This window comes from Homo sapiens, chromosome 12 (genome assembly GCF_000001405.40).
Source record: "Homo sapiens chromosome 12, GRCh38.p14 Primary Assembly".
Taxonomy (NCBI): Eukaryota; Metazoa; Chordata; class Mammalia; order Primates; family Hominidae; genus Homo; species Homo sapiens.
In genome coordinates, this window is record NC_000012.12 from 58,856,640 (window position 1) to 58,880,564 (window position 23,925).

General features: G+C 40.1%; 1 protein-coding gene across 3 annotated transcripts in view, besides 1 other annotated feature; it reads right to left on the bottom strand.

Moving 5' to 3' along the window:
- Positions 3,638-4,161: an enhancer, noted in NCBI's record as "H3K4me1 hESC enhancer chr12:59254059-59254582 (GRCh37/hg19 assembly coordinates)". NCBI's record gives its function as "activates a minimal SCP1, AML or CMV promoter by ChIP-STARR-seq in primed H9 embryonic stem cells {active_cell/tissue: H9 hESC(primed)}" and the evidence as "EXISTENCE:reporter gene assay evidence [ECO:0000049][PMID:30033119]".
- The window catches only part of LRIG3 (leucine rich repeats and immunoglobulin like domains 3), a 48,350-nt gene continuing 39,940 nt past the window's right edge, over positions 15,516-23,925 (bottom strand). For 2 of the 3 annotated variants that reach the window (NM_153377.5, NM_001136051.3), the window contains exons 14-19: positions 22,185-22,466; positions 20,761-21,213; positions 19,806-19,964; positions 17,791-17,934; positions 17,416-17,691; positions 15,516-16,177 (exon numbers count right to left, since the gene is read on the bottom strand). In NM_153377.5, the coding sequence (NP_700356.2) occupies positions 15,933-16,177; positions 17,416-17,691; positions 17,791-17,934; positions 19,806-19,964; positions 20,761-21,213; positions 22,185-22,466 (1,559 nt within the window). In that variant the 3' untranslated portion in view covers positions 15,516-15,932. Of the gene's footprint in view, positions 16,178-17,415; positions 17,692-17,790; positions 17,935-19,805; positions 19,965-20,760; positions 21,214-22,184; positions 22,467-23,633; positions 23,840-23,925 lie in introns of those variants that run through there. The other variant, XM_017018790.3, reaches the window with a different exon arrangement.

Consider the following 23,925-nt stretch of genomic DNA (forward strand, 5'->3'; position numbering starts at 1 on the left):
AGTTGGGGAAGGAGTCGGGGGCATGCTGGGGTAGGGAGGTAGACTCTGAGGGCTTCCTGTAAGGCATAAATCACACTTTTTACATAATTGCGAATTGTCTTTTAATGAAAAGAAAGTTTGTATGTATGGCATTCCACTCCATTTGCCTTTTTTTCTACAAAAGAGGTCTAGCTGTAAGATGGTGTTATACTTTATACTTCCCCCAGGAGGCCAGGTTTCTCCCTCTTGAAGAGGATATCATGGCCAGGTGGTTCTGCAGAAGAATATAAGTCATTTCTTTCTTAGCGTCTGAGGGTCAAACTTGTCTCAATTCTCCAGAATACATCTTAGGGGCGTTTTTGCCTTGGGGGGAACATTTCCCTTCTGGAAAAAGAACATAGGGATGCCAGCACCCCTAGTCATTTCCCGTAGAGCATTAGTCCTAGAGTGTCCTCTATGGTACTAATGCTTATTCCTTTCCAGGGTGCACAACCATGGACTTCTGCTTATCAGATTAGTTAAGCTCACTGATGCAGCAGTCCTGCACTCCTTTTCCCGCCTTTCTTGACCACAAAGAAAGGGGTCTGGGCTGCTGAATTCTAGTGGTCCTTTACCAGGGTGCCCAACATTGCTTTTGTGCTCAGGGGTGAGTCCTAGAGCTGGGCTGGGTTCCTGAGTATTTCATAACAACCCAGCTGCCCCATCAAGATGAACTCCCATAAACAGTTCTTATGCAAATTCATTTCAGAGAGGGTGTAGGTAACCTTTTGAGTCAGGATTGAGTAGTCTTTTTTGATTGTGTAAGTACTTTAAGGCTTGGCTGAGTGCAAACAGCTCACACGTTTGAGGAGACCAATTATTAGGCAATTTTTCTAACTCTGCTTCCACAAGAGTCTCCCTATCAATTACTGAATACTCATTGTGGTTTTTTCCTCAATCACCTGGGAGGAATCATCTATCATCCTGTCCTGAAGGGAATTCCTCCTAGGTCTTTTTGGACTTTTATATGGTAATTAAGATTTAAATCCCCTGTTAGGAAATCTGCTGGGTTAAGGGAATTATCAGTGGTTGGTGTTAAATTACCTTTTTTTAACAGGATAGCCCCATACTTTAAGATTTTTGAGTTAGTATGCTACCTTTTTCTTTTTTGACTCAGGATAATTCTGAACTGGTGAGGTGTGCTCACAATGAGGTTTCCTCACAATGAGGTTTCCTCTAAAAGTTTCTTTTCTACTTTCTTCTGTTAGCAAAGCAGTTGCCGCTACAGATTGAATGCATCGGCGGGTTACAGGGTTAATGAAGGGTTTTTGATAGGAAAGCTACGGGTTGTCAGTGGTCTCAGTGTTTTCAGGCTACGCCCTTGTTTACACTGACAACAAGGTAGTATTGGAGTGTTATGGGGTCACGGAGAAGACCTTCAATTATCAATTATAGGTTTTAAATTTACCCTGGCTTTTAAAGGAATAGGGCACACTGATTTTTACTATTACTATCTTTCTCTTTCTCTTTGACTCCCTCTTTTTCTCTCTCTCTCCTCTGTCTCTTTCTCTCTCTCCTCTATCTCTCTCCTCCGTCTCTCCTCCGTCTCTCTCTCCTCCATCTCTCTCTCCTCTGTCTCTCTCTCTCTCTTCCCTCTCTCTCTCTTCCCTCTCTCTCTCCCTCTTCCCTCTCTCTCTCCTCTATCTCTCTCTCTCTCTCTCCCCTCTGTCTCTCTCTTAGCCATTTACAAACTTGAGGCCCTGGCAAGGGTGGTAGAGAACGGGTCCCACGTAACTGCCCATGTTGAGAGCTGTATACCTAAATCGGGAGGGACACCAGGGATAAGACTCCCTGGGTTTATTGTCTAGATGCCTAAGGATGCAGCCTAGAGCTTCCTTAGATCCCTTTGGAGATACAACTTGCTAGAGGAAATGAAGTCTGAACCATTAGTGCCTAGGAGGCAGGGATCAGAGGAAGTAGATTCGGCGGTAAGGAGAATTTTGGGGCTACACTTTCAAGAAAGTCCTGGTCAGGACCCAGGAGGTATGGGTCAAAAGGAAAGGTAGGGGTGCACACATGGGCGACTGTTAAGTAGAGACTTCTGGCTGTGCCATGATCTCAATGGGCTAATGCTGGGAGTTCGGGACAACAGGTTTCTGCCTCTAGTCAGCCCTCAGCTTCCCCAAGAAAATTGAAAGTGGAAGCTGGTTGTAGGCTCCCAACCCCAGATAGCCTCACACCTGAGTCTTAAGTCCGGTGGCCACACTAATCGTTTTTAACTGGCCGACAGGTGCTCGGTATTTTCCTCCAATTCTAAGGAAGGATAGGAAAGAATAGCAAGTGAAAGTGGTCCGATATTACTCACCATTTTGGAGGTCCCTTCGTGGTCGCCAAAATGTTACTGGGGGGTCCTTGCTTCCAGAGCTCCCAACATGGTGGCAGGCTGCTTCCAAGACGGTGGCAAGCCTTGTGTTCTCTGACCTGGGGTTCTTAGCCTCATGGATTCCAAGGAATGGAATCTTGGATCATGCGGTGAGTGTTATAGCTCTATTAGAAGCCGTGGGTCATGGAAGAGAACAGTGGAACCCAGTGACTAGTGTTCAGCTCGATTAGGATGAACCCGGGCACTTAGCTGTGCAGGAACAATGGCAAGCCTTTAGCCTGATCCGGAGCGGCAATGGGTGCCTCACTGGATCAGGAGCACAGCGGACACCCTGCTGGATCTGGAGGGATGGAAGTCAACGGCGGGTCTCCGACGGCAGCAAACAGCAGTGGTGGGCGGCGAGTGAAAGCTCAGCTCGAGCCGTAACAAACACGGACCAAAAGAGAGTGCAGTTGCAAGATTTAATAGAGTGAAAACAGAGCTCCCATACAAAGGGAGGGGACCCAAAGAGGGTAACTTGCTGGCTCGAATGCCTGGGTTTATGTCCCGATCATTCTGCCTCCCGCTGTGCTCTCAGGCGATAGATGATTAGCTATTTCTTTACCTCCTGTTTTTGCCTAATTAGCACTTTAGTGAGCTTTTTTTAATTACCTGATTGGTCGAATGTGAGCTAAGTTGCAAGCCCCGTGTTTAAAGGTGGATGCAGTCACCTTCCCAGCTAGGCTTAGGGATTCTTAGTCGGCCTAGGAAATCCAGCTAGTCCTGTCTCTCATAAGGACATATCCAAGACTGGATAATTAGTAAAGGAAATTAGTTTAATTGACTCACAGTTCTGTAGGGCTGGGGAGGCCTCAGGAAGCTTAAATCATGGTGGAAGGGGAAGCAAACACGTCCTTCTTCATGTGGGGGACGGAAAAAGTGCCAAGCCAAGGTGGAAAAGCCCCTTATAAAACCATCAGATCTCATGAGAATTCACTATCACGAGAACAGCATGGGGATAACTGCCTGCATGATTCAATCACCTCCTATCATAGGTAATTGAATCATGTGTGTGATTCAATTCCGTGTGTCCCTCCCACAACACATGAGATTTATGGGAACCAAAATTCAAGATGAGATTTGAGTGGGGACACAGCCAAACCTGGACACTCCCAAATCTCATGCCCTCACATTTCAAAATCAATCATGCCTTTCCAATAGTCCTCCAAAGTCTTAGCTCATTTCAGCATTAACCCGAAAGTCCAAGTCCAAAGTCTTATCTGAGACAAGGCAAGTCCCTTCTACATAGGAGCCTGTAAAATCGAAAGCAAGTTAGTTACTTCCTAGATATAATGTAGGTACAGGCTTTGAGTAAATACACCCTTTCCAAATGGGATAAACTGGCCAAAACCAAGGGGCTACAGGCCCCAATCAAGTCCGAAATCCAATAGGGCAGTCATTAAACCTTAAAGCTCCAGAATGATCTGTTTTGACTCCATGTCTCATATCCAGGTCACACTGATGCAAGAGATAGGCTCCTGTGGCCTTGGGCAGCTCCGGCCCTGTGACTTTGCAGGGTACAGCCTCCCTCCTGGCTGCTTTCACAGATTGGCATTGAGTGTCTGCGGCTTTTGCAGGCACAGAGCGCAAGCTGTCAGTGGATCTACCATTCTGAGGATTGGAGGACAGTAGCTCTCTTCTCGCAGCTCCAGTAGGTGGTGCCCCAGGGGGAACTCTGTGTGGGGGCTCCGGCACCACATTTCCTTCTGCACTGCCCTAGCAGAGGTTCTCCATTAGGGTTGAACCCCTGCAGCAAACTTCTGTCTGCACTTCCAGGCATTTACACAGATCCTCTGAAATCTAGGGGGGAGTTCCCAAACCCGAATTCTTGACTTCTGTGTACCTGCAGGCCCAATACCATGTGTAAGTCATCAAGGCTGGGGGCTTGCACCCTCTGAAGCCACAGCCTGAGCTGTAAGTTGGCCCATTTTAGCCCCAGTTGGAGCAGCTGGGATGCAGGGCATCAAGTTCTGATGCTGCAGACAGCAGGGGGGCCTTGGACCCCCTAGGGGTCCCTCCTAGGCCTCCAGGGCCTGTGATGGGAGGGGCTGCCGTAAAGGTCTCTAACATGCCCTGGAGACATTTTCCCCATTGTCTCGGCAATTAGCCTTTGGCTCATTTCATATGCAAATTTCTGCGGGTATATTGAATTTCTCCCCAGAAAATGGGTTTTTCTTCTCTACTGCATTGTCAGTCTGCAAATTTTCCAAACTTTTATGCTCTGCTTCCTCTTGAATGCTTTGCTGCTTAGAAATTTCTTCTGCCAGAAACCCCAAATTATCTCTCTCAAGTTCAAAGTTCCAGAGATCACTAGGGCAGGGACAAAATTTTGCCAGTCTCCTTGCTAAAGAATAGCAAGAATCACCTTTATTCCAGTTCCCAGCAAGTTCCTCATCTCCATCTGAGACCACCTCAGCCTGGCCTTTATTGTCCATATCACTATCAGCACTTTGGTCAAAGCCATTCAACAAGTCTCTAGGAAGTTCCAAGCTTTCCTACATTTTCCTATCTTTTTCTGAGCCCTGCAGACTGCTCCAATGTCTGCCTGCGACCCAGTTCCAAAGTCACTTCCACATTTTCACGTACCCTTATAGCAGCACCTTCACTCCCAGTACCAACTTACTGTATTAGTCCATTCTCATGCTGCTGTAAAGGCATATTCAAGACTGGGTAATTTATAAAGGAAAGAGGTTTAATTGACTCATAGTTCCATAGGGCTGGGAGGCCTCAGGAAACTTACAATCATGGCAGAAGGAGAAGCAAACATTTTTCTTTACATGGCAAAAGGAACAAGTGCCAAGCAAAGGGGAAAAAGCCCCTTATAAAACTATCAGATCTCATGAGAACTCACTACCCCAAGAACAGCACAGGGGTAACTGCCCCCATGACAAAATTACCTCCCACTGGGTCCCTCCCACGATATGTAGAGATTATAGGAAGTACAATTTGAGATGAGATTTGGATGGGGACACAGCCAAACCATGTCCGTCAGTCATTCCCCTCTCCTTGATACTTTTTTCACTTGGCTTTCACTACCTTTGCTTCTTTTCCTCCTATGTAACTAGTGGCTCCTTCTCTATCAGCTTAGATGAATACTCCTCATCTTCCAGACCTGTTACTGTTGGAGAGGCCCAGAGCTCAGCTTGGACCTTGTCTGTTTTCTGTCTATGCCCACTCCCAAGGTGAACTAATTTGGTTCAAAGGCTTTAAATACCATCTCTATGCTAATGACTCCTGAGTTTATACATTCATCCTAGATTCATATTCAACTACTGCCAACCTGACAGTTCCATTGAGATGTCCCTCAGAATCCATACATCTATCCAAAGCTGAGCTTTTTTTTTTTTTTTTTTTTTTTGAGATGGAGTCTTGCTCTGTCGTGCCCAGGCTGGAGTGCAGCAGCACAATCTCAGCTCACTGCAACATCCGCCTCCCAGGTTCAAGAGATTCTCCCTCCTCAGTCTCCCAAGTAGCTGGGATTACAGGTGCCTGCAACCATGCCCAGCTAATTTTTTGTATTTTTAGCAGAGAAGCGGTTTCATCATATTGACCAGGCTGGTCTTGAACTCCCAGCCTCAGGTGATCTGCCTGCTTCGGCCTCCCAAAGTGTTGGGATTACAGGCGTGGGCCACAGCGCCCCACCAGCTGACCTTCTCTATGAACCTGATCCTTCCGCAAACTTCATCTGAGATTTGAAAACTCCATCTTTCATGTTACTGGAACCAAAAACCTTATGGTCATCTTTGAATCCACTTTTTATGTTATACCCTACAGCCAACCTATGGCTATATAAACAATAACCTCACTACCTTTACAGGTATAACTCTAGTCCAAGTTACTATCACATCTTGCCTGGATTATGAAATGGTTATAGTCTTCTTGCTTCCAGCCTTGCCCTCTTTAGTTTATCCTCAGCATAGCCATAAAATGAACCTGTTAACATGCCTTCCCTCTGACCAAAGTCGTTCAACTTCTATGCCTGTGCCATAGAGAAAAAGCCAGAGTCCTTGCATGTAAGGCCATTTTTAGGACCCCTGTGTTACCTCTCTGGCTTCATGTGTGACTCTTTTCTCTCTTGGCCAGCTGCTTCTAGCTACCTGCTCCTGCCCCAACACCACTTCACTGGCAGTTTGTCCGTTCTGTGTGGAGTGCTTTTCCTGCACATAACATGACTGGGTCCCTCACTTCTTTAGGACATAGCTCAAATGAGTGAATTTCCCCTATCTAAAATTTCAGCCCCCACCCCAAATACTAGTAAACTCATCTCCTCGCTTTTTCTTTCTAGCACTAGTCACTATGTAACATACTATATAGCATTTATTTTGCATAATCATCTATCCTTCTCTATAAGCTCAATGAGAATAGCATCTTTTGTCACTGTATCTTCTGCAGGTAAACACAAAAAATAAAAAGTGTTCAATGCATGTTTGTTGAATAAATAGTAGGCAATGAATACATTTTAAAACTCTTCGTTGCTCTTCATTTTTCTTTTACCTTTCTGAAAACTCTTTTCAGGTTTCCTTTCAATTCCACTTCATCTGTTTGTCCTGTATACTTTTGTATCTTATCTACACACTCAACAAACTCTCTTCATCTTGTAACCTCTCAGAACCTAGACTCTAACTTGCATGCAAGTGATTCTCGCCTCTTCAATCTCGACCATTTTCACATTATACCCACTTTCTAAGAGCCTATTGGAATTCTATTTTAGTTTTCTAATAAATCTTTCAAATTGTATAAAATAAAATGTATTATGTCCTCTCTCCAAACTTACCATGTTTCATATCTTGCTTAGTGACGTTAAACTCCATCTAATCACAAAAGCTAGAGCCACAGTCTCTTTCTCAGTTAGGAAATCCCTTTATGGCCAGAATAGCACTATGCTTTAATCTTCACCCAGCAAATATAAACATATATGCATGTGTATGTGTCACATATATGGTACATACACATGGCTACATATGAGACATAGAATTAGAGAACATATTTATGGACCACATTCAAGCAACAAAAAACAACAGAAACACACACAGCAGTGACAGAGACTAAAGTCAGTGCTCTATAAAGCTCTAAGTCAGAACACTGGCAGAGCCAAAAGCTTAATCAAGAGCCAAAAGTTCCCTTGGTGTTGCAGGAAATGGAGGCAGGCTCAAACTGGACACGGGAGCAGGGCTCTCCGCCTATGGAAACAGCAGTGACCACTGACTAGGACTAAGGTATATGTCAATCTGTGAACTTACAGTGCTTGAAGGAGGTAGTACTTGAGCCAATGCTGGCCAGCTCTATGACTATGACAGGTACCTACATCATCCCTAGCTTTTAATACAAAAGCTGGTTCTGGACTAAGAGTCCCGTGGTACCACAAGGCAATCATAAAACCACTAAAAAGGGAGAGTCAACACTAAAAGGAAGAAAAGGAAAAAGATAAACCTGCAAACAAAAATTCCAAAGCACACAACCAAAACTAAGAGAGATGGTAAACGACACAGAGATTCTGTCAGTTTTGAAAAAATAAAAATACAACAATCTTGGTGATTTTGAAATAATTTTAAGATTATCAGAGACACAAGAAAGCACCATATAATTTTGTGAAACACAAGCAGGTGGATACAATTTAATAAGAAATGGCTAAAAACAGAAACATCTAGCATTCTGACATATGTAAAGATACAGTCCTTGACATAAAAAAGGACTTTTTAGATTGCAGCTAAAAATTAGAGCAGTAAGATAATTAATCTTAATAATTAAGATAATTATTCACCTAGAAAGAACATGTGAGAGTAAATGAGAAATATAAAAGATTATTTGAGGCTCCAAAACACATCTTAAAGGGATTTGAGAATTTAAGAGTAAATGGAAAGACAGGTAAGCAGTTTTCTAAAAGGGCAAGGTTTTTCCAGAATTATAACAAATTTTCAGATTAAATGTGCATCAGGTCAGGTATGTTAAATAAACGCACATTTAGAACCATTACAATGAAACTGAAAAGGATGAGAGATAAAGCAAAAAGACTTAAAAGCTACCAGACGGAAAGATGGATCAGTAGCAGAGCACTAACAATAGAGTGAGAACAGATTTCAACAAACGATTCTGAAAGACAGTCAAGTAAAACGACCACCAATTTAATACTTTTTATTCACTAAACCATTATTCAAGTTAGGGCAAGATGAGGATATCTTTAGACCCACAAAAGCCATGAGAACATATTTTTTAACAGGTTAAAATAATTCCTAAGGAATACACAGCTGGCTCTTCAACAGTCTGAATTTGAACTACATGGGTCCATTTATATGGAGATTAAAAAGAAAAAACCACACACACATGGACCAAAAGTACAATATTCAAGGGATGCCAAACCTTCATATAAGGAAAGTTGACCTCAAATATGTGGGTTTCACAGGGCCAACCACGGGACTCGAGTATGTGTGGATTATGGTATACACAGGTGCTCCTGGAATGAATCCCTGGAGTATACTGAGGGACAACTGGTTTATCAAGAAGAAAAATTAACCAAACATAATGAAATTAAAGTGATTGAAGGAATGGTAAAGTATGTTGGTCATTCTAATAAATATGAATGAAGACAATGTAGGTGAGCAGGAAAAGTTTGTTAAATCACTATCTTTTCTTTTCTGGGAAGACAAAGAAGTATAACCCTCTATTAGTAAAAAAAACAAGAGGAGAGGGATAGAGAGAGAAAACATGTTAAAATTTTAGTAGTAACTTTACAAAGAATAAAAATATAACTAACCTGTAAGTTCCAAACTAGCAAGGGAAAACAAGAAAAAATTCAAGTCAAGAAAAGGAGAAAAAGAAAAATGATGAGAAACAGAACAAAAAAAAAAATAGCAGAAAGAGTTCTGCAGAGCGTGGTGGCTCACACCTGTAATTCCAGCACTTTGGGAAGCCGAGGCAGACGGATCACAAGGTCAGGAATTCAAGACCAGCCTGGCCAACATGGTGAAACCCCATTCCTACTAAAAATACCAAAATTAGCTGGACATGGTGGCGGATGCCTGTAATCCCAGCTACTCAGGAGACTGAGGCAGGAGAATGGCTTGAACCCAGGAGGCGGAGGTTGCAGTGAGCCACTATACTCCAGCCTGGGTGACAGAGTGAGACTCCGTCTCAAAAGAAAAAAAAAAGAAAAAAAAAGTTCCAAAGGTATTCATAATTCTCAAATGATAACAGCATGAACTCACTGTGATGGTTAATTTTACATGTCAACTTGACTGGGTTAAGGGATACCCAGATAACTGGCAAAATATTATTTCTGTTTTTGAGGGTGGTTCCATTAGAAATTAGCATTTGAATCAGTGGACTGAGTAAAGAAGATCCCTTCACACCAATGTGGACGGGCATCATCCAATCCACTGCGGGCCCAGATAGAACAAAAAACAGGAAGAAAAGTGAATTCACTCTGTGGTAGAACTGGGAAATCCACCTTATCCTTGTCCTTTGACATCAGAGCTCCAGGTTCCCAGGCCTTAGGTCTTGGACTGAAAGTTACATCATGTTTTCTGGTTCTCAGGTCTTTGGGTCAGGCTGCATTACATCACTGGCTTTCCCGGTTCTCCAGCCTGCAGACAGCATACTGTGGGATTTCATAGCCTCCATAATCACATAAACCAATTCCCATAAAAAATCCTCCCATATGTCTATATATATCCTATTGGTTCTGTTTTTCTGTAGAACCCTAATACACACGCCTATAAAAAACTATAGATGACCATGTTGGGAAAAGTTTTAAGTATATTTTGATTATAACAGACACAATTTTTTTATTGTGATTAAAACAACACAACATAAACTTACCATCTTAAAATTTAAGTATATAGCTCAGTAATGTTAAGCATATTCACATTGTTCAGGAACAGATTTCCAGAACTTTTCCATCTTGCATATCTGAAAATCTATACCCATTAATCAAGAACTCCCATTTCCCCCTCCTGCCAGCCCCTGTAACTACTATTCTACTTTGTTTCTTTGGCTACTTCAGATACTTCAAAAATGGCACAGTAAGATTGGAAATGACAAAACTGGGAAAAATATACCAAGCAAATAAAAAAATTAACTTTGTAATGAATAGACAGATATCAGACACTCCAAGCAAATTTAAACCTTGAGTAACACTGATTTTTAAGAAGTGGGCCATGGGAGATACATCAATGAAAGAGACAAAGGAAAAAGACCAGCAAGACAAGTAGGACTAGAAAAATGTAGAGATTCAGAAAGGTGCTACAACAATGTTTAAGTCCAGTAAAATAAAAACTGTAAACATATGGTCAAGTTTGGAAGTTAGGAAAACTGGCAATCTTGGCAAAAGCAATTTCAATTGAACATGAACAAATTTTGATCTTCCTAGGTTGAAGAGGAACTAAGATTTTGAGACGTTTGAATGAGAAAAATAAGAGAGGGGATAATCTAGAGGCAAGGTTAAGGGAAGATAGATATTGAATTATAGGATTCTCACAATCATATTTATAGGTTGAGGACAAAGTTAAGATGGAGGGACAGCAACTTCTCACTCCAGCTACATCACTATAGTTCGTTCCCCCATAAACCCCATACTTCTTAACTTGGAGCCACTCACTGTTCCTACAGAAAAAAAAAAAAAATCTCTTGATGCATGTGGCCATCTGTTTACCTTTAGTAAACTGCATAAGGTGACTTCCTGCTAAGTGCCCACACATCATCTAATTCATCATGTGATTACACTGCTAAGTGCTAGACCACATCATCTGGCGATTGTCAAAAACACAGATTGTTTTACTTCATTTCTTCCTAGAAAGTATCTGATTAACACAGAGGTTAACTGTCTTTAGTATTTCTTATACAATGATATCACAGCTGGCTTAGTAACTATCTGCTTCCCTGTGAGTTTCTCAGATGGTTCACATGGTTCTATGGGAAAACAGCTATTATGCTTGGGGTAAAAGCAAAACTTTTGTCTTAGAAGAACTGGATTCTGCCAAGTGAGAAAGAAGAAAAAACATTTCAGGACAAAAGTTTTGTCATTTATCTAGCACTTTCTTGAGAGAATATTTGTCTTAGTAATGTTACCATAGCCATAGCATCTAAGATAGCACCTAGCACGGTAGCCACTCCAATGTTTGCAGAACTGAAGATGAGATAATATATACAATGATGTTTAGTTTATAAAAGGACACGGTGCATAGGGGCGGATAAGGAGTACTGTATGGTCAAAACATTCGGGGGTGATGAGAGCATGGCTTGAAGGGTGAGCTGGGATGTGTACGAAAGGTCTTATATGACATAACTAGGATTTAAAATTAGTCATGGAAGGTTTTTAAACAGGGAGGTTGCCCATTCAGATTTATTTTAGAAAAAAGTATTTCTGGTGACAGCAAAGACAATGGATTGGATAAAACAAAGGAGGATAAAGACTAGTTAAAACACTGCTACAAAAGACAGACAAGGGGTTGAACTTCAGCTGTGGCAATGGGGTAAGAGGGAAGGTATCATCAGCCTTGAGAAAACTCAGGAGCAAAACCATCAGGAATGGTGATTACTGGTGATTAAACAAGAAAGAGTACCAGAACTGGAACTGCTGTGGAATGCAGGTGGAGAAAAGAGATAATTGGCTTAGCCTGGGACACGCTGGTGAGGTGCATGTAACACTTCCAGGTAGTACAGTTAGAAAGTAAACATTCGGAGACAATCACTGCCAATAACAGGGGCCTACTGAGCTATAGCATTTAACACATCGATAATAAGTATTTATTCATGAACGTGCTTCCTGTCCCACTGATAATTAGAATAAGATTTTATTCATTTTTCACATCACCAGAGCATAAGAAATGTGTTTGAAAACTGAGTGTATTGTTACCAAATTTCAACTCTGAGCTGTAGTTAGATCAAAATAAAACCATAGGAAGTAATCTCAAAATAACCAACAAAACAACTACGATAACCTCATAAAAGTATTAGGTGTTGTACTGAAGAAAAAAAGAATTAAGAAAAAAGTTATACTTGTAAAATAGAAGACAAAGTTCAACATGAAACCCAACAAAGGTATATAAAAAAATTATAGAAGAAAAGCAAGAACTATACAGCAGTTGTGAATTCCCTTGTCATATTCTTTAAACTGTATTCTTAAAATTTCTTTAATTAAAACATGTAATTTTAATTAAAAGCCACATGTGAATGTTGGTTTAACTTTCCAGGTATTCATGGATATCAACCATCATGCAGGCAGATATGGAATCCAGATCTGACACTAAAAAAAAAATAGGAATGAAAAATGAACTTGTAATTTTTACAGTAGTAAGAATGGACTTGATAAATTATGCACATTTTAATCTAAAATATAGACTTTCATATGTTTTATCTTAATAATATACCTTGAGTAAAATAAAATGTCTTTGTCAAAAGACATCCCATTCAGTAACAGATTTTTCAACAACAACAAAAAACCAAATGGCCCAAGATATTGAGATAATTCAGAAAATATGTGGGCAAAACCTCTTCTCTATTAAAATAAAATACCAATGAAAATACTTCTGTGCCATTTTAGCTCACGTTTGAGACCAAGCAAGACAATTATTTCAGGACTTTCCTATTACACATTAGTTTAAGAAATGCCCCATAAAAAAGGTTAAGTTCTGGCACCTAGATATTTCTGGAGTATGAAAATTATTCAATTCATGAAGAAACTGTACCTTTCTTTGAAGACTAATTGTTTTCTTGGCAGGGTACTGTGTTATCCAATGTGTTAACAGAATGCTGTCTTAAACAATGAGTTCAAAGTTATCCTATTACATAAATCTGATCATTTCAGATCGCAAGAGTGGGAAGGACAGCTCAGGCATTTTGCAAGGACATTTGGTTCCCATTCTCTTGAAGAATACCAGTGTAGCACATCTATCATAATATTGGTTATAAATTACTTCCTATCACATTGAATTGAAAGAAATAAAGCCTCCCAAGTGTGTAGAAACACCAAACCACTTTCCTTGGTTCTGTCAATCTTTAAAAAGTAGTGTGGCTCTATTCTGAGCAGTAACTTTTGGTTTCTTTCTGTAGAAAGGCTGTGAAAATAAATTATATATATTCCACAGATACTTAACTTTCATAAAATTTTGCCAGAACTAAGGAATATTTTTCCCCAATATCCTACAATTAGTGCCAATAGTGGAATTAAGATATAAATAATACAGAAATTTTGTGAACATCTATTAAAATATGTTGTACATGAACTCCTATCAAAAAGCATAGGATGATTAAACTGGAATTTTTAAGTATTCCTCCAAGCAATGTGACATTTATCTACATTAGGCTTTTTACCTTGAGTCTATGTTATTTTAGGTTATCTTACCACCTACTAGATTGATTTTGTTAATTCAATTTGGAGTCTCAAAATCATATATATTCTTTTCCTGCAAATGTCAAAGAGAAATCAAGTTCCTACTCTTTCTCCAGACAGTTAACATTACATCTAATCCACAAATTTCAGCACATACACCCAGTAAAAGGGTAAAATCATACTGATGTAGAGTGAATCTAATTTTTGAATTTCAGGCGTTAATGATTTAAACCTTTGTGCTTAAGTACGGAAAAATTAAATCCTTTAAAAGAAGTTCATAATAACTGAAAAAGGCCCCATCTGGCAATAATGAAGACAAATTAACAATAAAATTTTGAAAATCTGGCAATATGATCAAGCCAAAGCATACGAAATTACTTCTCTGTACTTAGTCACTGGTGGTCCAAGGAAGGATCAACTTCCTGTCTTGGATTCTGGCGTCTAAATTAAAGCAGGAAAATCGACTGCAATCTGGGTTCCAGGCTTCTGGCTCACAAGCAACAAAGCTCGAAACTCACTAAAAGCAGGAAGACTTTAACCCCAACATATTCTCTAAGAAGAATCTGCTTTTTGAATAGCTGCTTTCAGTTTAGTTCAAACACAAGACAATGGCATAAATTCACACCTTGGAGGTTAGTTGACTTTTAAAGCTTATTGTGCTATATTAACTCCTTTTGTGCCAATTTATCTTGAGCAAGAGGGTTTTTCTTTAAACTACACATATGAGCTAGAATTTACTACAGAAGAAAAAAGTTTTATAATCTGAATTATTAAACTGAATTTTTTTTCCTTTCAGTTACTTTGAATTGTGTCATCTAGTTTTGAAAATATGGTTATATTCCAATGAGAACACATGGACACAGGAAGGGGAACATCACACACTGGGGCCTGTTGCGGGGTGAGGGGAGCAGGGAGGGATAGCATTTGGAGATATACCTAATGTTAAATGATGAGTTACTGGGTTCAGCACACCAACATGGCACATGTATACATATGTAACTAACCTGCACGTTGTACACATGTACCCTAAAACTTAAAGTATAATTAAAAAAAAAAAGAAAATATGGTTATATTCATTTTTCTGTGTATATATGCCTGCCATGTAATTACATTTTTCAATGAATACTGTTTTAAAACAAATGTTTTAGTTTTATGTGCTTAAGTAAGATATTTTATACTTAGTTTTTAACCAAACCTTGATGATCAAAGAAAATATTTTGGTAATTGTTCAAAAATAGCTTAGAAGTACCATTTATATACAAACTGCTCTTCCAGCAGAAAATCAATAAAAACAGAAAACAATTCTAGCAGCATCTCATTACAACCTGGAACAGTGCATGAAAGTCCACTTCTGCTAGAGCCATTTTAGCTATAGACATATGCAATAAACCACTCGCTTGCTGTAAGAAAAGGGACGGCAAAAGTGAAACTACTTGGATAAGCATAAGGCATTAGACCACGTAAACCATTATTATAATTAAAGAAACATGAATTGAGCAGTGATTTATGGTAGTTGTACTATATTACACCAGATTATAACAACAAATCTTTTTTTGTTCGTAGATTTAGAAATAATGTACCTTAAATCTCTGTAGCTCCTTCTCGTTTACAATTGTGCTTTCATATGCACAATCTGATTTCAATCTGTATTACAACAATCCTGGGAGGTAGAAAAAACGGTCATTTTTGTTCATACTTTAATGGGCTAAATATAATTCCCATCCGTTTGAGACATGATAATGTGAACTAATTAAGCCTAAATTGTGCTAAAAATAATAAAAATTGTTATTGTATAAATGGGGCTTGGCATCAAATTGACACATTTTATTAAATATAATGTGCAAAATATAATGAAGTAACTTCTATTTAAAAAATGGTACAAGGCAGGTATTATTTAAAATGCTTTAGTAACTCATTTTCCATAAAAAGAAATCTGGCATTATAAAAATACATAAAATAATCATGATTTATATCATTAATTTACGTAAGATACTTTTTTGCATAAAACAAAGTTAAAAAATAGTTTAAAAAGGTATTCTTATATGAGCATCATTCCCAGTATAAAAATTTTCATAACTTTTTGTAATTTTGGTTCATCTGTATAAATAAAGCATTTTTATCCTTTTAAAATTCATAACTCCATTTAAAAAACATAAGATTCTCTCTCTTTTAAATAAAAGTTCACTTGAGGTAGTATGTTAAGCTTTTCCTTTGGTCTCATTCAGTCTATGTGTCCAAGTCATAAGACTGAAAATTTGGAGTCCTGTAGTTTTCTAAAGTCTGTTTAAAGGTACAAATGTGATTTTCTTCCTGAAAATCTGTCCTTTCTTTCCCATCTTCCTCTGACCCAGAGTCCAAGTCTGGGGAAGAATGAGCTTTCAAATAAAAGGCTCTTGGCTGACAATCTGATGGCTGTCCAAAGCTTGAATAGGCATCTAGGTGAGGTCTCCTGAGAGCTTTTCCAAAGGTACCTGAAAGAAAGAAACACCTTGAGCACATGGGTCCCTTTGCTAGCATGTGAATCAATAAAACCCATTGCAAATGAAGGAACATCTTACCCCATGAATATGAGTAAGTGTTTTCTACAAGTCCACATTATGGCACTCACATACATGTACATCTGTCTTACAGCCAGATCACTTCTAGAATGGAGCAAAAGACATTTGCCTTCCCTCATATTTACATCCACTGAACAAATGCATCTATTCTTTATCATTTCTCATGACCTGTAGTAATGTTAATGGTCATGCAATAAAGTTCCCCAATATAAGTTTCCCCACATCCTAGCTGAGAGCCCAATTTTGGTGACGGGTGTGTTGGATGGTAACATCCAAGTTAACTGAGGCTAAATAAAGAAATTTTCTTTCAAAATAAACCTGTGTCCTGCCCTTTCTTCATTAATTGTAGCCAAATATTACTCAATTGAATCAAATTCTTGCCTCAGTTATACAAAGCATATTATTTTAATTTTTTCCAAAAAAGGAATATAAATAATTACACTGTGATAAAACATAACATTTCGTAGAAGTTGGGTAAAATATTTGAAAATTCTCCTTTTTTAAATTTTATTGTCAACATGGCAAGTTGTGGCTGATTTTTCCATCTCTCTGTTCAGTGAAAAGATGACCTCAGCTCTTCCATCCTATTATCCCCATGCATCAGACGAAAAAATTCACTACCTAATCTCAGTGCCAGCCAGCATCTAACACCACCGACTTGGACCTTAAGGCTGGTTTTCTTGGCCAAAGGTAGTCCAGCTTGTCAGACTAGCAGTTGTTGCTAGGTAGGATGTTGTTTTCCACCCTTCGACTGCGGGTTCAGTTGGAAGCCACCAGACATACCAAACCACAATCATGCAGAGCACACAACTCCACCCCAAAGGCCGTGGGAGCCCAAAACCACTTTTTCCACATGGCTGACAAGCTGAGCTCCTAAGTCCTCCCCAAACCCTTGTCTTGGAGTAGATGCCACACACAGTGCTACCCAGAAAGCTCCTGAGGCTTAGTTATAGATTAAACACATCATCAAGTAAAATCCCACCTCTGACTTTGCTTTTGGAGGCATTTACACTAACTAGTCGGATGTCATGGCAGCCTCATTCAAGAAACCATTTTTTACCAGTTTGACATTCAAGGCTGTCATTGCTCTCTCACACACAACTTGGAGTATGGATCCTCAGACGAGGTACCTGATAACTTAATAAACTTACCCATGAAAGAATTACTCGAGGCAACCGACGCTGGCTCTGGATTTGCACTAAAATCTAAAGAGGACTTGTTTAGACACAGATTTTTCATTCCAGGTCCTTCATTGTGAGAGTAACTAGTGTTAAGTAGCTTCCTCACATGTGAAGGCCACGATATATTACTGAAGCTCCGTTCGCAGGATTCTTCTGAAGGATGAGAACATGGGTAGCACTCCTTTTTCTTTATGTAACTGGGCTCATAGTGGTCCATTAAAACTGTTCTTGGGTCAGGACTGCAACCTTTTTAATATGGGGGCAGTAACAGAAGGAGATTACAGTTAGCACATCTAGAAGTCTCTCTAAGAAACAGAACTGTACTCAAGCAAGAAAACCACCTACCTGTATGATATGTTTCAAAAGGATCTGAGCCATACACATTTCCCTTCAAATACATAGGGCCTGTGGATCCCAAAAACGGACAAAGGAACAGATCTGTGGCAGCTTCCACATCAGCTTCACTGCTATTGTCAATATGGCAGGTCCCTTTGAAACAAAAATCTTAGTCAATGATCCAATTATTCAAGTGCCATTCAACATTCTCCCCAGTTTTGGCATCTTCCATATTTATAGATGAAAGTTTGACTAGAACATCATATAGACAAAAAAATTGCAAAAATTTACAGTAGGGTTTTAAAAAATTTATTAGAGGACTTAATTAGCCATTGTGCTAGGTGTGGTGGCCTTATTGCTCACTTGGTTTCTACGGGAAACTGATATGTGCAGATCCTGCAGCCAAAGCAGCCATGGTCTAAACCACATACCATCAGCACTGTCCCCTTCTTACAAAAGGTCCCAGATGACCAGAACCAGGATTGGCACTTGGCCAATGACCTCTTAATGCCCATCTCAAAGATAAGCTCAGCTAAACATATCATCTCATGAGTATCTGAACCAAACAACACAGAAATATACGCCATTTACTGCTGGACACAGCAGGTGAAGAGTAAATGATATCATCAGGGTTAGAGATGTCACGATGACGCATGTGTCTGGGAAGCAGAAACTGGGCAGCAAGAGGTGGTGGGCTGAGAGAAAAGCAAATATGCAGAACGTGACACAGTAATGCTGGTGGCCCAGAGCTACTCTGGGAGCAGCCTCATCTCCAGCCTCAGCATCTAGGCAGCCTGGCATTATTATGCCCCAGTTCTGTCCCTTTAGGTTTTCCTTAAGTGTCTTTTCAGTTAACCCCATTATGCTTTAATGAGCTTGGGTCTCCACTCTGCCTCTAAACGGGTCTAACCAGAATACTCACTTCTATGCTCAGATCCTGTAACTCTACGCTCTTTATTTCTGGCTTGCCAAGCACTTTTAGTTTATCCACCTCTGACGAAACTGTGAAATTGAAAACATATACTTCTCTCCCAACTACAATGTCTGGCACAGAGCGTATAATAAATACTTATGGGAAAAGTTGGTCATATATTTTAGAATAACATCGATGGCTTCCACTTGCTGAGCCCTTAATATGTGCCTAGCGCCATGTAGTTTTCCATCTTCATTTCATTTGCACAAGTACCTCACCAGAAAGTATTGTATGTGCCCCACAGTACATGCAGTAAGTAGTAGGTCTTGTACCAAACCTGTGCTCTTGTATTATGCTGTCTCCATTATTATTCTCAAAACTATGCAGCATTGAAAGCAAGGGTCAGAATTAGACTTCTCAAAGAGGCTGGGTGCGGTGGCTCACGCCTGTAATCCCAGCACTTTGGGAGGCTGAGGCAGGCAGATCACCTGAGGTCAGGAGTTCAAGACAAGCCTGGCCAACATGGCAAAACCCCATCTCTACTAAAAATACAAAAACAAAAGAAAGCATTAGCCAGGCGTGGTGGCATGTGGCTGTAGTCCCAGTTACTTGGGAGGCTGAGGCAGGAGAATCGTTTGAACCCAGCAGGTGGAGGCTGCAGTGAGCTGAGACCACGCCACTGCACTCCAGCCTGGGTGACAGAGCGAGACTTCGTCTCAAATAAATAAAAATAAATAAATAAAAAATAGACTTCTTAAAGAAAATAATGTAAACCATTAGACTTTTAAGCCCATTCATGTAACCAGTTAATATCATTTAAGGGCCAAAGAACATTTATAATGTAAAGGATACACAAATATCCTTTACACATGGAATAATTACATTTTTCTAAACCTACTAGTCTTTTTTTATTGTTAGAAACAAAGATTTATTTCTTTCCTAGTATTTAAGAGAACGGTATAGAACTATACAATTTCAACCTTGCTAGTGATCTTGGGCCAGGTCCTAAATGTCAGTGTTATCAATGTCTTGTGAAAATGAATATCATATCTGAGCCTTCCACCATATGACTTCAAAACAATTACAGCCCACATTCATTTTAAACACTTACCACTACTGTCATGTTGTGGTAAGAAAAATCCAGCACCTGAAGATGTGACAAACTGGTGGTGGCTTCCACTTTCTGAAGACACGTACCCATCCTGCCTGTCAGCTAACGTTCCCTGAGATGACAAATAACTAGGAATATCTGCTGGCAAGTTGGTCTCATCTGTAATAAAACAGCAGCATTTTATTAACCAAGGATGATCGTTAATTGTCCCACAGGCATCCCGGGTGAATGGCATAGACTATTTTGGCTTCTGTATACATCAAATTAGGGGAGATCTACTCTGGCAAAACCATCTCGATTGTACAGTATTCTGGAACGGCAAATTAGGGCTTTGCTGCTCTGGGACGTATAAGCTGACTTTCTGTTTTATCACCCATTGGATGCACCTCCCAAATTTCAAAACAACAAATGTTTAAACAGATTTTTTAAAAGGCTGAAGGCCTAAGAATTTTCATGGGACAGTATCTAAGCTTTCGAATTATGCTTGATTATTGCCATATTCCCTTCTTAATATTACTAATCAATATCTGACTTTGCACATACTAATCAAGTCACAGCTCCTCTTCCACTAATAAAATCCAACCTAAGTACATGCACATACGCACAGACAACAAGACATACAACTACTGCAGAGAGTAAACCTTATCATTAAAGGGCTGTTCCTGGTTCTCCATCACTATCTTATGAAGGAGTTAGAAATATTTTAGTCAGTGACTTGGATTTTATCTCACAGCCACAGGATACCCTGATGTCATTTTAACAAAAAGTATTAATCTTTAAACATCAGCTTTATTTGGGGCTGGAGTTTTTTAGCGAATCATATTTCTGCAGCTTGAAACAAATGAGTCACCCTTCTGAGATGAACTCAGACTGCAAGACACACGTTCTAGAAGTATTTGCAGAACCACAAATACACATGACTCCGGTGACCTGTGCCAAGCTTCTGTTTACACACCTGTGTTGGTAATGCTGCAATCTTCATTCCTCCGCCTTGTGTGGTATATGATGACCACCCACACGAGTGACGTGCCCACCACACAGCAAACCACGGCTATGATCACGACACCCACAGTGGCCCATCCGTCATCGTCTAACGATGGGGCTGTCATCTGAGGGGAGTCGCAGGTTGGAGTGGGGATCACACTGAGGCGCACGTTTCCTCTCTCAGTGCCAAGGGTGTTAGACATCTCACATGTGTATTTCCCAGCATCACTGACATCTGAGTCCACAATAATCAGAAGCTGATTGCCTGCTGCAAAAAAGTGCCTCTCGGTTACCACCAATGGGCTATCATCTTTGGTCCAGTTCAGTTTAGGGGGAGGGCTTCCTCCAGCAATGCACTGTAGGACGGCTGTTTCTCCCTTGGTTACAGTTCGGTCCAACAGTGGCCGCAAAAATGATGGTGTTTCTGAAATAACAAGTTATGCTTTTAATTTCCCAAATAAAATTTAGTTTCCATATCATAAAATGTAGCATTTAAACTTATTCAAATTGTAACCTAAAATTTTATTCTCCCACAACTTACTGGACACACTTTTCTAAGAGCCTAAACATATACAACATTCAGTATTTCACTATTCTGCTGTCATTTACTCATAACACCAGTTAAGGATAATATCTACTATTTTTAAAATCTCAGCTTCCCTCACTTTTGCAAAAGTCGGGAAGCTGGTAGTAGGGGGGGAGAGTGGGAAACAAAAGCTTTTTAAAAATAGAAAGTACAAAAATAATTTCAAGCACAAGGGTATGTTGATAAATAAAAAAAATCAGAATGCTTAAGTTTTTTAAGTGAAACTTTTTAGGGCCGGATGCCTGGGCCTATATTAAAACTCTGACAATAATTTACTTTTATTATTTAGTATCTTAATAGGTTACGTTAATTAGCTCTTTCAAAGATACGTGAATAATAATTGTGTTTACATTTTTAAAAAGCATTTGTTTAGGTAAAAGATGAAAAAAAAACTCTGACTTCCGGAGAGGTATGGTAGGCTGAGAAAAGAGAGTAAGGCCTTCCCAATTTGTTCCCACATTTTTTTTTAATGTTCTTTATGGTGTTAAGACTACTGATATAGACAGCACAGTGGGGAAATTAGAGGAGGGTGATCCCCCATAAAAGGGAAAGCATCCCAACTTTTCCTCGGCCCCTCTCTTCAGGATGGAGGGGGCAGGGATTCACCTCAGTGGCCAGACTTGAGGATGTCATGCAATCCCTGACTTCAAAGTGTTCAAGAGGCCATTTGCATTAATACTTTCTAGGAAAAGGCAATGCCCCATACATCTTCATCTCTTACTCTCACAACTTCTGATACTTAGGGACCTTGGATGAGCTAGTATCTTCAAGACTGATTTATACTACAGAATCTTAACAAATTCACCCACCTAGGACAGTCAGAGTTGCATTTGCTGAAATACTTCCTGCACTGTTCTGAGCTGTGCAGCTGTATACCCCAATGTCCTCTATCTTCACATCCACGATAAAGAACACGTCATCCTCGGGCATCACATGCATGCGTCTCTCCCGTGCAGCTGGGAAGTCTGTGCCCCCATCCTTCTGCCAGGCTATCTGGGGGGCTGGGTGCCCCACAGCAGCACACTCCAAGCGTGCCATGGCCCCAGCTCGGATGGTGAGATCCATGGGGGTCTTGGTGAATGAGGGAAGCACTGAAATCAGAGAAACAATATAGGCATTAGCACAGTGGAGTCTTACAGGTTCACTTGCATTCCTTTTTATTATTTGTTTGTTTGTTTGATACTTACAGATTGTCCCTGACATAGATTGGGCAGGGGTTAATTCCAATTTCAAGTCAAGGAAACTAAAGTTGAGATGGAAAGATTAAAAGGCTTGCTCAAGGTTACAGATACAGAAACAATGAAGTCAGGATAAAACAGAGGTCATCTGATTCTCAGAATGAAGGTCTTCCTGCTATTTTCTGCCACTTTTTAGTTTCCTCAACAATCAACTGTGAGATCTTGGGTGTATCAATTAATCTCTTTGTACCCTGACCACTCACTTCATCTATTTTTTTTTTAAAGTCTCTCCTGGTAGCTCTAACATTCTGTGACTTTTAAGATACATGTTTTGCCCTACAATTTAAACTCAAAACTGTTCTATGTGCCAGGCCACAGCCATCATTTGCTGAGTGAATGCATTAATGAATCATATTCAAAATCTTCTACCACGGCAGATACAGATAGTTAAATGATAAAGTGGCAAGGATCCTACTGTAAAACTGTATACCTACCACACAAAGCAAACAAGAATAGACTTCTGTTAACAGTGGCTAACAGTGCATTTACTGAGCACTACCTTGTAGCCATTTTGCTACATCCTTTACACATATTATTTCACTAAATGAGCATAATGCCTCTAGGGGGCAGGTCCTATTATCCCTAATTGAAAGATGTGGAACTGGAGGCGGAGAAGTGAAGCAACCTGCTGAAAATCACGCAGGAGTGGCAGGATTCACACACAGATCTCTGAATTAAAGGCAGTGTGCATCCAGCATGATGCTTTGCAGCCTTCCAGATCAGTATACTACACTGTAAACTCTCAAAGAGGAAAACATTGCTGGGCACGGTGGCTCACACCTGTAATCCCAGCCAGCACTTTGTGAGGCCAAGGTGGGCAGATCACAAGGTCAGGCGTTCGAGACCAGCCTGACCAATATAGTGAAACCCCGTCTCTACTAAAAATACAAAAAATTGGCCGGGCATGGTGGCGCACGCCTGTAATCCCAGCTACTCAGGAGGCTGAGGTAGGAGAATTGCTTGAATCTGGGAGGTGGAGGTTGCAGTGAGCCAAGATTGCAACCAGGATGTCATCCAGCCTTGGGTGACAGTGCAAGATTCCGTCTCAAAAAAAAAAAAAAGAAAAAGAAAAAAAAAAGAGCAAAAACATGTCTGGTTCATCTCTGTGTTACTCACCACACTGAGTACGGTGTCGTCTTCAACATAATTGCAGGTTTAGATACAAATAACCAAGAATCTTAATTTTGTGGAATGAAAGGTAGGGAAAGGAAGAGTCAGGTGGGGAACTGTGAGAAGAAAAGACAGGGTTAAGATTAAGAGAGAAAAACAGGTGCTTTCTATTTCTAAAAGGTATCTTTAAATGCTAAAGGAA